A 15841-nucleotide genomic window follows, 5' to 3' on the forward strand; every position below is an offset into this window, starting at 1 on the left:
CAGGAGACTAACTTGAACCTGGGAAGCAGAGGTTGCACTGAGCCAAGATCATGCCACTGCACTCTAACCTGGGCGACAGCAAGACTCCGTCTCAAAAAAAAAAAAAAATTCTGCAAAGTAGACAGTAAGATCCCAGCTACTCGGGAGGCTGAGGCAAGAGAATCGCTTGAACCTGGGAGGCGGAGGTTGCAGTAAGCCAAGACCGCGCCACTGCACTCCAGCCTGGGCAACAGAGCAAACCTCTGTCTCAAAAAAAAAAAAAAAAAGAGACAGGAAGGAGCCAAAACCTTTAGTGAATGAAAGGGGACAGAATTGGACACCAGCGGTGATTCTGAAGAGCTGTGGGAGTGTAGGGAGAAAGAATGAGTCCAAAGGACCCAAGGTTTTTGAAAGATGACAGAAATGACCAGGTCAGGAAGCAAGGAACAGGCAGCTGTGCACTCAGACTGCATGAGTTCAAACTCTGATTCCAACATTTACTCACTATTTGAACTTGGGCTCATTATTCAACCAGTTTAAATAACAGCTTTTTATTCTTAACAATCATGATAATAATAGTACTCTTTCATGGGGTATTATGAAGAGTAAAGGAGGTAATTGAAATAAAAGCACTTAGCACCATGCTCTAGAATGTGCTCTGTAAGTGTTGGCTGTTACTAAATCATGTTGGAAACCACAAACTTGATCTAAATAGCTTTGCAGTTTGAATAAATACTACTTCAACAGCCATTTCTTTGCCTTAACACTGTTGAGAAACCAGTGCATCTGAAACCTTTTACTTCAAGCATTAGGAATCTGTGCCAAGACATTGAAGATTAAATGAAGCTTAAAAAGAAGGGCTTACAGCCAGGTGCAGTGGCTCAATGCCTGTAATCCCAGCAATTTGGGAGGTCGAGGTAGGTGGATCACCTGAGGTCAGGAGTTCAAGACTAGCTTGGCCAACATGGTGAAACCTCGTCTCTACTAAAAGTACAAAATTAGCTGGGCATATTGGCACACTCCTCGAGGGGCTGAGGCAGGAGAATCACTTGAACCTGGGAGGTGGAGGTTGCAGTAAGCCGAGATGGTGCCATTTTACTCCATCCTGGAAAACAAGAGCAAAATTCCATCTCAAAAACAAATAAACAAACAAACAAACAAAAGAAGTGGTTACAAATGAAGATGAAAAAGGGGAGAAAAAAGGAAGAGTTTTCTTAGCTAAGCAACTGTTAATGACAGAGGTTTGTAAACTCTTTCTGCCAAGCCACTTTGGAAGCCATTTGGCTTACAGGGTACAATTCAGAGTCCTTAGCAGGAGCTCTTAATCATGGCCTCTTGTCTATGCATCTGGTCTCATTTCTTGCTACTTCCCCACATGTCTAAGTTCCGGCCATAACAAATAACCTGCATACACAGGACTTCCTCTTCCCTTAGTGCACATTATGCCTTTGCCTAGAATGTCCTTTCTCCCACGAATATTTACAGACTAGTTAAGTCAAGCATTATTTCCTCAGGGAAGTCGTGGTTTATCACTACCACCTTACAAATACTGAGGTCCCAGCCCCCATCCGGGTTCCTGCAGCAGCCTCTGATCACCCATCTTACAACATTCATTATCTTATATTGGAATACCTTTAAAATATCTGTTTTCGGCCCGGTGCAGTGGCTCATGCCTGTAATCCCAGAACTTTGGGAGGCCAAGGATCACAAGGTCAGGAGTTCGAGACCAGCCTGGCCAACATGGTGAAACCCCGTCTCTACTAAAAATACAAAAATTAGCCGGGTGTGGTGGTGGGCGCCTGTAATCCCAGCTGCTCAGGAGGCTAAGGCAGGAGAATCACTTGAACCTGGGAGGTGGAGGTTGCAGTGAGCCGAGATCACGTCACTGCACTCTAGCCTGGGCAACAGAGCAAGACTCCATCTCAAAAAAAAAAAAATCTGTTTTTCTCATGAGACTGTAAGCTACTTGGGGCTATAATTTGTATCTCACTAATATACAAAGTGTCTTGTGGAAAGCACTTTGTAACATTTTGGTAGAAGGATTAATGTAAATGAATGTTTTCTTTGGAGAGGATGAGAAACTTGTGTACTGAAGCAGGAATGTGTAGGATTTTTTTTTTTTTAAAGACAGGGTCTCACTGGCCTGGCGCGGAGGCTCACGCCTGTAATCCCAGCACTTTGGGAGGCCGAGGTGGACAGATCACGAGGTCAGGAGATCGAGACCATCCTGGCTAACATGGTGAAACCCCATCTCTACTAAAAAATAGAAAAAATTAGCTGGGCATGGTGGCGGGTGCCTGTAGTCCCACTACTCGGGAGGCTGAGGCAGAAGAATGGCATGAACCCGGGAGGCGAAGCTTGCAGTGAGCCGAGATCGCGCCACTGCACTCCAGCCTGGGCAACGGAGCGAGACTCCATCTCAAAAAAAAAAAAAAAAAAAAAAAAAAAAAACAACCACAAAGACAGGGTCTCACTTTGTCACCCAGGCTGGAGTGCAATGGCACCATCCCAGCTCATTGCAGCCTCAACCTGCCAAAGTTCAAGCAATCCTCCTGCCTTAGACCCCCGCCCCCACAAGTAGCTGGGACTACAAGCTTATACCACCATGCCAGGCTAATTTTTATGTATTTTTTGTAGAGATAGAGTTTTACCGTGTTGCCCAGGCTGGTCTCGAACCCCTGAGCTCAAGCAATCTGCCTGCCTTGGCCTCCCAAAGTGCTGAGATTACAGGCATGAGCCACCGTGCCTGGCCAAGAAAGGATATTTTGGAGGAAACCATTACATTATAGCCTGGAGTTTCATTTTTATTTACCAAGTGATATACTAACTCTTAACAGACTAAACACACCCCTTTTGGTGATTTGCATGAAAGCTATTCAAGTTTTTATCAGTGAGAGGTTGAATGGACACCTCTAAGTATGTGTCAGGCATTAATCCATCTAATGCTTCTATTTGATAGGTCCTATTTTCCCTATTTTTACAGATGGGGGGAACGTGCTTAGCATAGTTAAATAATGTGCCCAGGATTACATAGCTACTCAACTCAGGCTGTGTGATGACAAAGTTCACACTCTTATATAAGATTTCCTTCCATTCTAAGATGTTTCCCCCACCTTATACAACTGACTACCACATACAGTGGTAATACAGATATCCCCATTAACATCATCAGAATATGGAATAAGAAAAGACATGATTTTACAGCACTCTGGGAGGCCGAGACAGGTGGATCACGATGTCAAGATATTGAGACCATCCTGGCCAATATGGTGAAATCCCATCTCTACTAAAAATACAAAAAATTAGCCGGGTGTGGTGGCGGGCGCCTGTAGTCCCAGGTACTCGGGAGGCTGAGGCAGGAGAATGGCGTGAACCCGGGAGGCGGAGCTTGCAGTGAGCCAAGATCACGCCACTGCACTCCAGCCTGGGCCACAGAGCGAGACTCCATTTCAAAAAACAAAAAAAAAAAAAAAAAAAAGAAAAGACATGATTTTATAATCTAGTTCAAACAAGACAGACCAATATATATAATAACACAAGAATGTCTGCCTGGGTCACACCAGTGTGTTGCTAAATCTATAACCATGATAATACAAAGGAAAGAAGGCTGAACTGGAAGTGAAAGACGTTTGTCTAGGCTTAGAGCCCAGACAGGGCACGTGCAACCCAGCGAAACTAGGGCAAGTCATTTGTAACTGTTCCGTGACTCAGAGCCCTCGTTTTACAAATCAATGGATTAGACTTCACCGTCCCTAACCTTATTACTTTAATTTAATTTTGGGATGGAGTCTCACTCTGTCCCCCAGGCAGGAGTGCAGCGGCACGATCTTGGCTCACTGCCGAGGCTGGAGTGCAGTGGAACGATCTCAGCTCATTACAACCTCCGCCTTCTGGGTTCAGGCAATTCCCCTGCCTCAGCCTTCCGAGTTGCTGGGATTACAGGTGCCTGCCACCACGCCTGGCTAATTTTTGTATGTTTAGTAGAGACGGGGTTTCACCATGTTGGCCAGGCTGGTCTCTAACTCCTGACCTCAGGTCATCTGCCCCATTGGCCTCCCAAAATGCTGGGATTACAGGCGTGAGCCACCATGCCCAACTGCTTCCAAACATTTCAGAGTCCAAGCGAAAAGTGGTTGCATGGGTAGGGCGTGGCTCATGCCGCTACTTCCCCACATGCCTAAGTTCCGGCCATAACAAATAACCTGCATACACAGGACTTCCTCTTCCCTTAGTGCACATTCACTTCTTGTGTCAGTTGCTAAGAGTAATCATGTAAAGAAATAGGTGTCATTTTTGATAGCTGATTCTGGAAGTTTCTAGTTTCTTCTGGAAGGTATACTGCAGACATAATAATATATGCATAATATATCCCTAAAGTTTCTCCGTGGAAGCTTGAACCCGGGAGGCACAGGTTGCAGCAAGCCAAGATCGCGCCATTACACTCCTGCCTGGGCGACAGAGTGATCTCTTGGTTCGCTGCAACCTCCCCTCCCAGGCTCAAGCAATTCTCCTGTCTCAGCCTCCCAAGTACCTGGGATTACAGGCATGTGCCATCACGCCCGGCTAATTTTTGTATTTTTAGTAGAGACAGGTTTCACCATGTTAATTAACCAGGCTGGTCTCGAACTCCTGACCTCATGATCTAACTGCCTCGGCCTCCCAAAGTGCTGGGATTACAGGCGTGAGCCACCGCGCCCTGCTGGCAGTTCTATTTTTTTATTTTTTTTATTTTTTTTTTTTTTTGAGACAGAGTCTCGCTCAGTCGCCCAGGCTGGAGTGCAGTGGCGCAATCTCGGCTCACTGCAAGCTCCGCCTCCCGGGTTCACGCCATTCTCCCGCCTCAGCCTCCCGAATAGCTGGGACTACAGGCACCTGCCACCGTGCCCGGCTAATTTTTTGTATTTTTAGTAGAGACGGGGTTTCACCATGTTAGCCGGGATGGTCTCGATCTCCTTGACCTCATGATCCACCCGCCTTGGCCTCCGAAAGTGCTGGGATTACAGGCGTGAGCCACCGAACCCAGCCATTCAGTTCTATATTTTTAAGTGACTTAATTATGTAATCCTCACAATAAGTTATGTGGTAGATACTATTTTTTTGAGCCTGAATTTCATTGTCACCCAGGCTGGAGTGCAGTGGCTCAACTCGACTCACTGCAACATCTACCTCCCGTGTTCAAGTGATTCTCCTGCCTCAGCCTCCAGAGTAGCTCTGACTACAAGTGCGCACCACCACACCCAGCTAATTTTTGTATTTTTAGTAGAGACAGGGTTTCACCGTGTTGGCCAGGCTGGTCTCTAACTCCTGACCTCAAGAGATCCATCTGCCTCGGCCTCCCAAAGTGTTGGGATTACAGGCGTAAACCACCTCGCCCTGCTGTAGATACGATTATTAAGCCCATTTTACTGATGTGAAAAATGAGGGTTAAAGAAGTCAGGTAACCTGCCTAAGCTCACACCTAAGTGCCAGAGCTAGGATTAGGAATCAGGTTCTTTAGATTAAAAGTGATTTAGCCAGGCAGGGCACGGTGGCTGACGCCTGTAATCCCAGCACTTAGGGAGGCCGAGGCAGGAGGATCACCTGAGGTCAGGAGTTCGAGGCCAGCCTGACCAACATGGAGAAACCCCATCTCTACTAAAAGCACAGAATTAGCCGGGCCTGGTGGTACATGCCTGTAATCCCAGCTACTCGGGAGGCTGAGGTAGGAGAATCACCTGAACCCAGGAGGTGGAGGTTGCAATGAGCCGAGATCACACCATTGCACTTCAGCCTGGGCAACAAAGAAAGACTCCGTCTCAAAAAAAAAAAAAAAAAACAAGTGTGACTTAGTCACAACCTTATGCTAGCTTTCTCTAAGATAGGCTTCTTTATCTCCATTTTACAGCTGGAGACCAAGATATGATCCCAGGTCAAATAGCTAAGAACTCACAAAACACATTCAAACCCTCATATTTCTCTCCCAAGCCCTGTTTCCTAAAAATTATGTTGCTACTTCTCATTCTCCTTTGCCGGAACTCCTCATCCCAACCTTTAAACTTCTGAGTTCTTCGGCATTACAAGTCTAGGCTCCCTCTTTCATACTGAGGACCTCAAAAATATCTTTATTTTACTTTTTTGAGATGGAGTCTCACTCTGTTGCCTAGGCTGGAGTACAGTGGCGCGATCTCAGCTCATTGCAGCCTCCACCTCCCGGGTTCAAGAGATTCTCCTGCCTCAGCCTCCCAAGTAGCTGGAATTACAGGCAGTCGCCATCATGCCCTGCTAATTTTCATATTTTTAGTAGAGATGGGGTTTCTCCATGTTGGCCAGTCTGGTCTCTCGAACTCCTGCCCTCAGGTGATCCACCCGCTTCGGCCTCCCAGATTCTTGGATTATAGGCATGAGCCACCGCATCCGGTCAGATTTTTTTTTTTTTTTTTTTTTTGAGACGGAGTCTCACTCTGTCACTCAGGCTGCAGTACAGTGGCATGATCTTGGCTCACTGCAACCTCCCTTTCCCAAGTTCAAGTGATTCTCCTGCCTCAGCCTCCTGAGTAGCTGGAATTACAGGCACATGCCACCGCACTGCTAATTTTTGTATTTTTAGTAGGGATGGGTTTTCACCTTGTTGGTCAGGCTGGTCTCAAACTCCTGGCCTAGTGATCCGCCCACCTTGGCCTCCCAAAGTGCTGGGATTACAGGCATGAGCCACCGTGCCCAGTCTCTCTCTCTCTCCCCTTGCTTGCTCTCTCTCTCCTTACTCTCCTCTCTCTCTCTGTCATCTCTCTCTCTATCTTTCTCCCTGCCCCCCTCCTTTCTCTCTTCTCTGAGGAAAGCAAGCTTCCATGTTGGGAGCTGTCCTTCGGAGAAGCCCACATGGCAAAGAACTGAGGGTGGCTTCTGGCCAACAACCAGTAAGGAACTCATGCCTGCCAACAGCCACGTGACTGAACTTGGAGGCCAGTTCTCTCCCAGCTGAGCCTTCAGATGGAATCACAATCTCACTGGAATTGCAACTGCCTCCTGAGAGGCCTTGAGCCGGAGCCCCTAAGCTAAGCTCTCTGGCGTACTGACCTGAAACTGTGTGATAACATATGGCTGTTGTATCAAGGCACTAAGTTGTGGCGTAATTTGTCACACACCAATAGATTACTAGTACGATGATAATCATTATTTTAATATTACCTATCAGCCGGGCATAGTGGCTCATGCCTATAATCCCAACACTTTGAGAGGCTGAGGCAGTAGGATTGCTTGAGCCCAGGCGTTTGAGACCAGCCTGGGCAACATAGTAAGACCCCATCTCTACAAAAAAATACAAAAATTAGCTAGGCGTGGTGGTGCACGCCTGTGGACCCAGCTTCTTGGGAGGCTGAAGTGAGAAGATTGCTTGAGCCCCGGAGGTCAAGACTGCAGTGAGCCATGATCGCGCCACTGCCCTCTGGCCTGGGCAACAGAGCAAAATCCCATCTCAAAAAAAAAAAAAGAAATTACTGTCATATACATGTACTTACATTCATATATTTTTGTAAGTATGATACATTTCACAATGAGAGTGTTTAAACAAGGAAAAAGAGGTGATCGTGGGTATAAGCCAGAAGAAAGAAAAGAAAAGAAGTCATCATTTTAAAAATGTTATACATGTATTTTAATTTTATTTTATGAAATAGAGACAGGATCTTACTATGTTGCCCAGGCTGGTCTCGAACTCTTGGCCTCAAGCAGTCTTCCTGCCTTGACTTCCCAAACTGTTGGAATTATGAACAGGAGCCATCACTCTTGGCTGAAAATAAGTAGTTTTTTGTTTTGTTTTTTTGTTTGTTTGTTTTTTGAGACAGAGTCTCACTCTGTCGCTCAGGCTGGAGTGCAGTGGCTCTCTCTTGGCTCACTGCAACCTCCCCCTCCTGGGTTCAAGCGATTCTCCTGCCTCAGCCTCCCGAATAGTTGGGATTACAGGCAACTGCCACTAGGCCCAACTAATTTTTTTGTATTTTTAGTGGAGCCGAGGTTTCACCATGTTGGCCAAGCTGGTTTCCAACTCCTGACCTCAAATGATCCGCCCACCTCAGCCTCCCAAAGTGCTGGGATTTCAGGCATGAGCCATCATTTTTTAAGGAATTTCTATCAACCAAGGAAGAAATGAGAATAAGTAATAGCAATAGCAAAAGGATGTTTTTGTCTACCCTAAAGAGTTGATTTGAATAAATCCCATCTTCTCGCCCTTCTGGGTCTGAATAGTTGGTCATGTATACCCTACTCTTAAAACTCTAGTAAGCCGGGTGCGGTGGCTCATGCCTGTAATCCCAGCACTTTGGGAGGCTGAGGCGGGCGGATCATGAGGTCAGGAGATCGAGACCATCCCGGCTAACACAGTGAAACCCCGTCTCTACTAAAAATACAAAAAATCAGCCGGGCATGGTGGCAGGTGCCTGTAGTCCCAGCTACTCGGGAGGCTGAGGCAGGAGAATGGCGTGAAGCCAGGAGGCGGAGCTTGCAGTGAGCCGAGATCGTGCCACTGCACTCCAGCCTGGGCAATACAGCGACTGAGACTCCGTCTCAAAAAAAAAAAAAAAAAAACTCTAATTAAAGTGGGCAGGGGTAAGGAAAGCAAGTGAAATTAGTCCTCTGTTGTGATAAATAAATTCTGAGTTACATATCAAATTCAATAATACATGTACATGCCCCATCATCAAGATCATTTGAGAATTTCTGTTAACAAAAAGTTGTTGGTAGAAAATATGGTATGTGGCTGGGCGCGGTGGCTCACACCTGTAATCCCAGTACTTTGGGAGGCCTAGGTGGGTGGATCACCTGAGATCAGAAGTTCGAGACCAGCCTGGCCAACACAGTGAAACCCCGTCTCTACTAAAAATACAAACATCAGCTGGATGTGGTGGCACACACCTGTAATTCCAGCTACTCTGGAGGCTGAGGGAGGAGAATCGCTTAAACCTGGGAGGCGGAGGTTGCAGTTAGATGAGATTGCACCAGTGCACTCCAGCCTGAGCAACAGAGCGAGACTCTGTCTCAAAAAATTTTTAAAAATAAAATAAAAGTATAAATTCTAGATGGGTGTGGTGGCTGGCAGGTGCCTGTAGTCCCAGCTACTCAGGAGGCTGAGGTGGAAGAATCACTTGAGCTCAGGAGGTCAAGGCTACAGTGAGCCATGATCACACCACTGCACTCCAACCTGGGTGACGGAGTGAGACCTGTCTCATAAATAAATAAATAAATGTGTTATTTTATTTTATTTATTTATTTATTTATTGAGACAGAGTTTCACTCTTGTAGTCCAGGCTGGAGTTCAGTGGTGCCATCTCAGCTCACTGCAATCTTCCCCTCTCTGGTCCAAGTGATTCTCCTGCCTCAGCCTCCCAAGGAACTGGGGCTACAGGTGCACGCCACCACACCCGGCTAATTTTTGTATTTTTAGTAGAGACTGGGTTTCACCATGTTGGCCAGGCTGTCTTGAACTCCTGACTTCAGGTGATCCACCCACCTTGGCCTCCCAAAGTGCTGGGATTACAGGCGTGAGCCACCACACCCAGCCGTTAATTTAAAAAAGTGTAAATTCTAGCATGCTCAGTGCTTTAAAAAATAAACCAAAGAGTCCAAGCAAGCACCCTTCTTCAAAAATAAAATAGTCCTGTGTCTAGCCTAGTGAACTGACCATTCGCATATTTGAACACTCTATTAATGAGAAAAAATAAGCCAATACCTAGAATATTCCAGCCCAGGCTGGAGTGCAGTGGCGTGATCATGGCTCACTGCAACCTGGGCTCAAGTGATCCTCTGACCTCAGCCTATGGAGTAGCTGGGACTGCAGGTGCACACAACCATGCCCAGCTAATTTTTTTTTCTTTCTTTGCTTTTCTTTCTTGCTTTTTTTTTTGAGATGGAGTTTCGCTCTTGTTGCCCAGGCTGGAGTCCAATGGCGCGATTTCGGCTCACTGCAACCTCCGCCCCCCCGGGTTCAAGTGATTCTTATGTCTCAGCCTACCAAGTAGCTGGGATTACAGGCACATGCCAGCATGACCAGCTAATTTTTGTTTTTTTGTTTTTGTTTTTTTTTTTTTTGAGACGGAGTCTCACTCTGTCACCAGACTGGAGTGCAGAGGTGATATCTCGGCTCACTGCAAGCTTTGCCTCCTGGGTTCACACCATTCTCCTGCCTCAGCCTCCCGAGTAGCTGGGACTACAGGCGCCCACCACCACGCTCGGCTAATTTTTTGTATTTTTAGTAGAGATGGGGTTTCATCATATTGGTCAGGCTGGTCTCGAACTCCTGACCTCATGTGATCCACCTGGCTTGGTCTCCCAAAGTCCTGGGATTACAGGCATGAGCCACCGTGCCTGGACTTAATTTTTGTATTTTTTGTAGACACAAGGTTTCTCCATGTTGCTTAGGCTGGTCTGGAACTCCTGAGTTCAAGCGGTCCACCTGCCTTGGCCTCCCAAAGTGTTGAGATTACAGGCGTGAACCATCATGCGTAGCCTCATATTCCTATTCTTACATCCAGTCATTGCTAATTGTCTTGCACCCTGACATACACATTTGCTCACCAGGCCTCATCCATGTTCAAGATCATTAAATCCCAGGAATCATGCCAAGGGCCACTATGGTGAATAAGACCTTGTTATAATAATAGTTAATATGCCTTAAGTACTTACAATATGCCAGGGACTGTTGTAAAGTGTTTTACATATAGCTACACCAAACCTATCAGGTAGGTACTATTACAACCCCATTTTACTTACTTACTTATTTATTTTTATTTGCTTATTTTTGAGACGGAGTTTCGCTCTTGTTGCCCAGGCTGGAGTGCAGTGGCGTGATCTCAGCTCATTGCAACCTCCACCTCCCGGGTTCAAGAAATTCTCCTGCCTCAGCCTCCCAAACAGCTGGGATTACAGGTGCACAACACCACACCTGGCTAATTTTTTGTATTTTTAGTAGAGACAGGGTTTCACCATATTGGCCAGGGTAGTATGGAACTCCTGACCTCAGGTGATCTGCCCACCTCGGCCTCTTAAAGTGCTGGGATTACAGGCATGAGCCACCGTGCCTGGCCACAATCCCATTTTTGAGGCTTAAAGAGTTTAAATAACTTCCCAAGACCCCACAGCTGTAAGTGCTAGCATCAATACTTGAATACAGACAGTCGGGCACTGACACCCATACGTTCATTGGACAAATATTTACAATGCACCTATTTTGTGGCAATCGCTATTCTAGGCACTTGGTTTTTCAGTGATCATCTATGCACAGTGCTCAGTTCATCCAGGCACTAGGCTCATAAGCTCATCAGTGAGCAAGACCTACAGAGATCTTTACCCTCATGGAGTTTACTCATTAGTCAGGGGAGATAGACAAACAATGATAAGCAGATTATGTAGTATATTAGGAAATAAGTGTGATAATAAAAATAAGAAGTACAGCAGAGGCTGAGTACAGTGGCTTATGCCTGTAATCCTAGCACTTTGGGAGGCCGAGGTAGGTGGATTGACTGAGCTCAGGAGTTCAAGACCAGCCTGGGCAACATGGCAAAACCTTGTCTCTACCAAAAATACCAAAAAAAAAAAAAAAAAAAAAAGGGCTGGGCATGGTGGCACACACCTGTGGTCCCAGCCAGTTGGGAGGCTGAGGTGGGAGTGTCGCTTGATCCTGGTAGACTGAGGTTGCAGTGAGCCAAGATTGCATCCCTGCACTCCAGCCTGGGTGACAGAGTGAGACCCTGTCTCAAAAAATAAAAAAAAAAAATTTTAAATTAAAAATTTAAAAAAGTACAGCAGAATCAGGGGACCAGGAGTATAAGGGGTGAGGCAGCTAGTTGCAATTTTAGGAACAGCAGGTAGACCTGGCTGAGAAGATAACATTTATTTCTTTTTTCTAATTTTGGTTATAATTTTAAAAATAATTTTAAAATGCTGAAAAGCACAGTAAATAAAATAAATACGCATGTTCTCTCTACCTACAATGTGAAAAATGCTAACATTTTGCTATATTTGGTTCAAAATATTCTAAAGAAACTAAAGCAGGAGTGTCCAATCTTTTGGCTTCCCTGGGCCACAGTGGAAGAATTGTCTTGGGCCACAGATAAAATATACTAACACTATTGATAACTGATGAAATATACACATATACATATTTATGGAGTTTTTTTGTGATTTTTTTTTTCTCAAATATATTTATTTGAGATGGAGTCTCCCTCTGTCAACCAGGCTGGAGTGCAATGGCTCAATCTGGGCTCACTGCAACCTCCACCTCTCGGGTTCAAGCAATTCTCCTGCCTCAGCCTCCTGAGGACCTGGGACTACAGGTGTGCACCATGATGCCTGGCTAATTTTCATATTTTCAGTAGAGACGAGGTTTTGCCATGTTGGCCGGGGTGCTCTTGAACTCCTGGACTCAGGTGATCCTCCCGCCTTGGCCTCCTGAAGTGTTGGAATTACAGGTGTGAGCCATAGCGCTCTTTTCTCTCTCTCTTTTTATTTTTATCCCTAGTCCTGCAGTCCTTCTCTTGTCTGACCACTTGACTTCCCAACTGTTACCAATGCATTCATCAGACAGAGATGTATTAATGGCTTATTATGTGCTTAGACTGCAATACCAGAGTCATTTCCTAGAAGGAAGGAATGGTTTTAACATCTGTGCTTCATCACATTCAATCCTGAAATACTTAATTTTGTGCAGTAGAAGATTAAAAGAAACTATTTGTAATAGCACTAATATAAGACCTTGACTTCGGTTATGGTAAGTAATAGAGAAAGACCATTTCGATGGATTTTGAAATCTTTACATTCTTTTCTGAATCCCAGACCCAAAAACCCATCTCTGTTGAATGGAGCAAGCAAATTAAATGGAGTGTAAAATGAAACTGTGATACTGTGTATGTCAGCGGAAACTGATGGGTCTTACGAGTTCAAGATTTGCAAGTCTAAACACTTGAAAAGTATGGCCACCTTAATTGTTTTGTGATTTAGCTCCTAATCCTCCTCAAGCAGTATTTATGCAAAAGCATTGCCAGCAGCAGTCGGGAGTTCTTAATTTTCATCCTGTTTTGCTTTATCCTAAAGTACGAGTGAACTCATGTAAGAAAGAGGTTTCTCATCCAGGCGCGGTGGCTCATGCCTGTAATCCCAGCATTTTGGGAGGCCGAGGCAGGCATATGACTTGAGCCCAGGAGTTCAAGACCAGTCGTGAGCAACATGGTGAAACCCCGTCTCTACAAAAAGTACAAAAATGAGCCTGGTGTGGTGGCATGCACCTGTTTTACCAGCTACTCGGTGTAAGGTTATCTGAAAGACAGGACGAGAGAGACCCAAGGTCAGGCGAGTAATTTTATTAACCTGCCAGGCTGCTCCATCACAGTCAGAGGATGCAGCCCTGAGCTTACAAAATGAGGGGTGTGTATGGGGGAGACAGACCCTGGGGTTGTTTGTTGGTTAACTTTACCAATATCATCTCATGAATGGCTTACAATACATTATCTTGTGAAAATAGGAATTTACAAGAGGGTGTAATTTAGGTTTATCTATGTTTCTTGTGACCTCCCCCATGCTGCCCACAGGGCTGTAATAGCAAGTCTGGTGACCTTGCTGTGGTGCCTAGATAAGGTTTCTGGAATGCAGCTGCAGAGTATTCAGGGTAAGGGCCAGCTGCATTGAGGTGGGGGGTTCCTGGGGCAGCTTGTCCCTAACACTCAGAAGGCTGAGGTGGGAGGATCACTTTAGCCCGAGAGGTCGAGGCTGCAGTGATCACGCCACTGCACTCCAGCCTGGGTGAAAGAGCAAGACCCTATCTCAAAAAAAAAAAAAAAAAAAAAAAAAAGGAAGCAGCTCATTATTTATTGAATTGGAACAATTCCTAAGATATATATATGTGTGTGTGTTTGTGTGTATGGCAGTAATATATATATATATATATTTTTTTTTTGAGACAAGGTCTTGCTCTGTCTCCCAGGCTGGAGTTCAATAGTGTGATCATGGCTCATTGCAGCCTGGACCTCCCCGGCTCAAGCGATCCTCCCACCTCAGCCTCTTGAATAGCTGAGACTACAGGTGTGTGCCACCACACCCTGCTAATTTATTTTTATTTTCTATAGAGATGAGGTCTCCCTATGTTGCCCAGGCTGATCTCGAACTCCTGGCCTCAAGTGATCCTCCCAGCTCAGCCTCCCAAAGTGTTGGGATTATAGATGTGACCCGTTGTACCCAGCCATGCTTTGTTCTGTTTTACAACTATATAGTATTCCATTGTATAGGACTTTTACGTAATCCCCTATTTTTGGATATTTAGGTGCTCACAATCTTTTCTTTTTTTTTTTTTTTTTTTTGAGCGGAGTCTAGCACTGTCGCCCAGGCTGGAGTACAGCAGCACGATCTCGGCTCACTGCAAGCTCCACCTCCCGGGTTTACGCCATTCTCCTGCCTCAGCTTCCTGAGTAGCTGGGACTACAGGCGCCAACCACCACGCCCGGCTAATTTTTTTGTATTTTTTTAGTAGAGACGTGGTTTCACCATGTTAGCCAAGATGGTCTCAATCTCCTGACCTCGTGATCCGCCCGCCTCGGCCTCCCAAAGTGCTGAGATTACAGGCATGAGCCACCACGCCGGGCCTCACAATCTTTTCTTTCAATTATAGACAACGCTACAATGAATATGTACAAAATTGTGTGTGAATGTGTACATGAAAGTCTGTTCTTTGTATGAATTCCCAAAGGTGGAACTGCTGGGTCAAACAGAATGTATTTTATTAATTTTGTAAGATATTCACAGTCTGCCCTCTGTATAGTTCGTACCACTTTACATTTTTACCAACAATGTATGAGAGTACCTATTGCCCATACCTTTACCAACACAGCATGCTATCAAACTTTTAGAAACATTTTGAACTCTGCCAATCTACATCAAGTATTCTCACCTGAGGTCCACAGGCCTCAAGAAGGGGTTTCTCTCCCTGTAGTACCAAAGTCCACCTTCCATACAAAATCTCAGTTTCAAGCATCCCACTATCTGACCACCAGTTCACTCATTCTAGTGTCTGCACTTCAACTCTTTGCCTCTTGTTACCCTCAATCCACTGGTCCTATCAATTTTTCAGTGTCAACCTCCCTTTTGCTTGTCCCGTTACCCAGCCTAGTTTCTATGGCTCAATGCTGTGAACACTCCCTTGCCTAATGTCTTCATCAAACCTGCTAAGCAAAACCCCATACTTGGGTAAATTCATCTCCATTCTGCCCTGTACCTGCAAAGGGAGCTGAATATATCTGGAGAAAAACTCGCAACCATTCTGACTGGTCTTGAAGCCTCAGTGGGCTGTTGGCAACCCCCAAATCATGACTGTTCCCGATAAGTCCTCTTTCTCAGCCCATTGTCTCAAAATTTTTTCTTCCCTTTCAAACCTCCTCCCATATCTCCTCACTCCCTCTTTCAGCTGCTGATCTTGCTTTTTCACCAAAATTAGAAGCAGAAAAGAATTCCCATATCCTTCCATGATCAAATCTATCAATGCACATGAGTATGTATCTGATTCTTTGCTTTTCCTTCTTTTTTTTTTGAGATGGAGTTTCATTCTTGTTCCCCAGGCTAGAGTGCAATGGCAGGATCTCGGCTCACTGCAACCTCCACCTCCCGAGTTCAAGCGATTCTCCTGCCTCAACCTCCCGAGTAGCTGGGATTACAGGCGCCTGCCATAATGCCTGGCTAACTTTTTTGTATTTTTAGTAGAGGTGGGTTTTCACCATGTTGGCCAGGCTGGTCTCGAACTCCTGACCTCAGGTGATCCACCTGCCTCAGCCTCCCAAAGTGCTGGGATTACAGGCATGAGCCATCGCGCCTGGCCTCCTCTTCTTATATAAAATGTCCATGCCCCTGACTAAGA

Source organism: Homo sapiens, chromosome 10 (assembly GCF_000001405.40).
Source record: "Homo sapiens chromosome 10, GRCh38.p14 Primary Assembly".
Classification (NCBI taxonomy): Eukaryota; Metazoa; Chordata; class Mammalia; order Primates; family Hominidae; genus Homo; species Homo sapiens.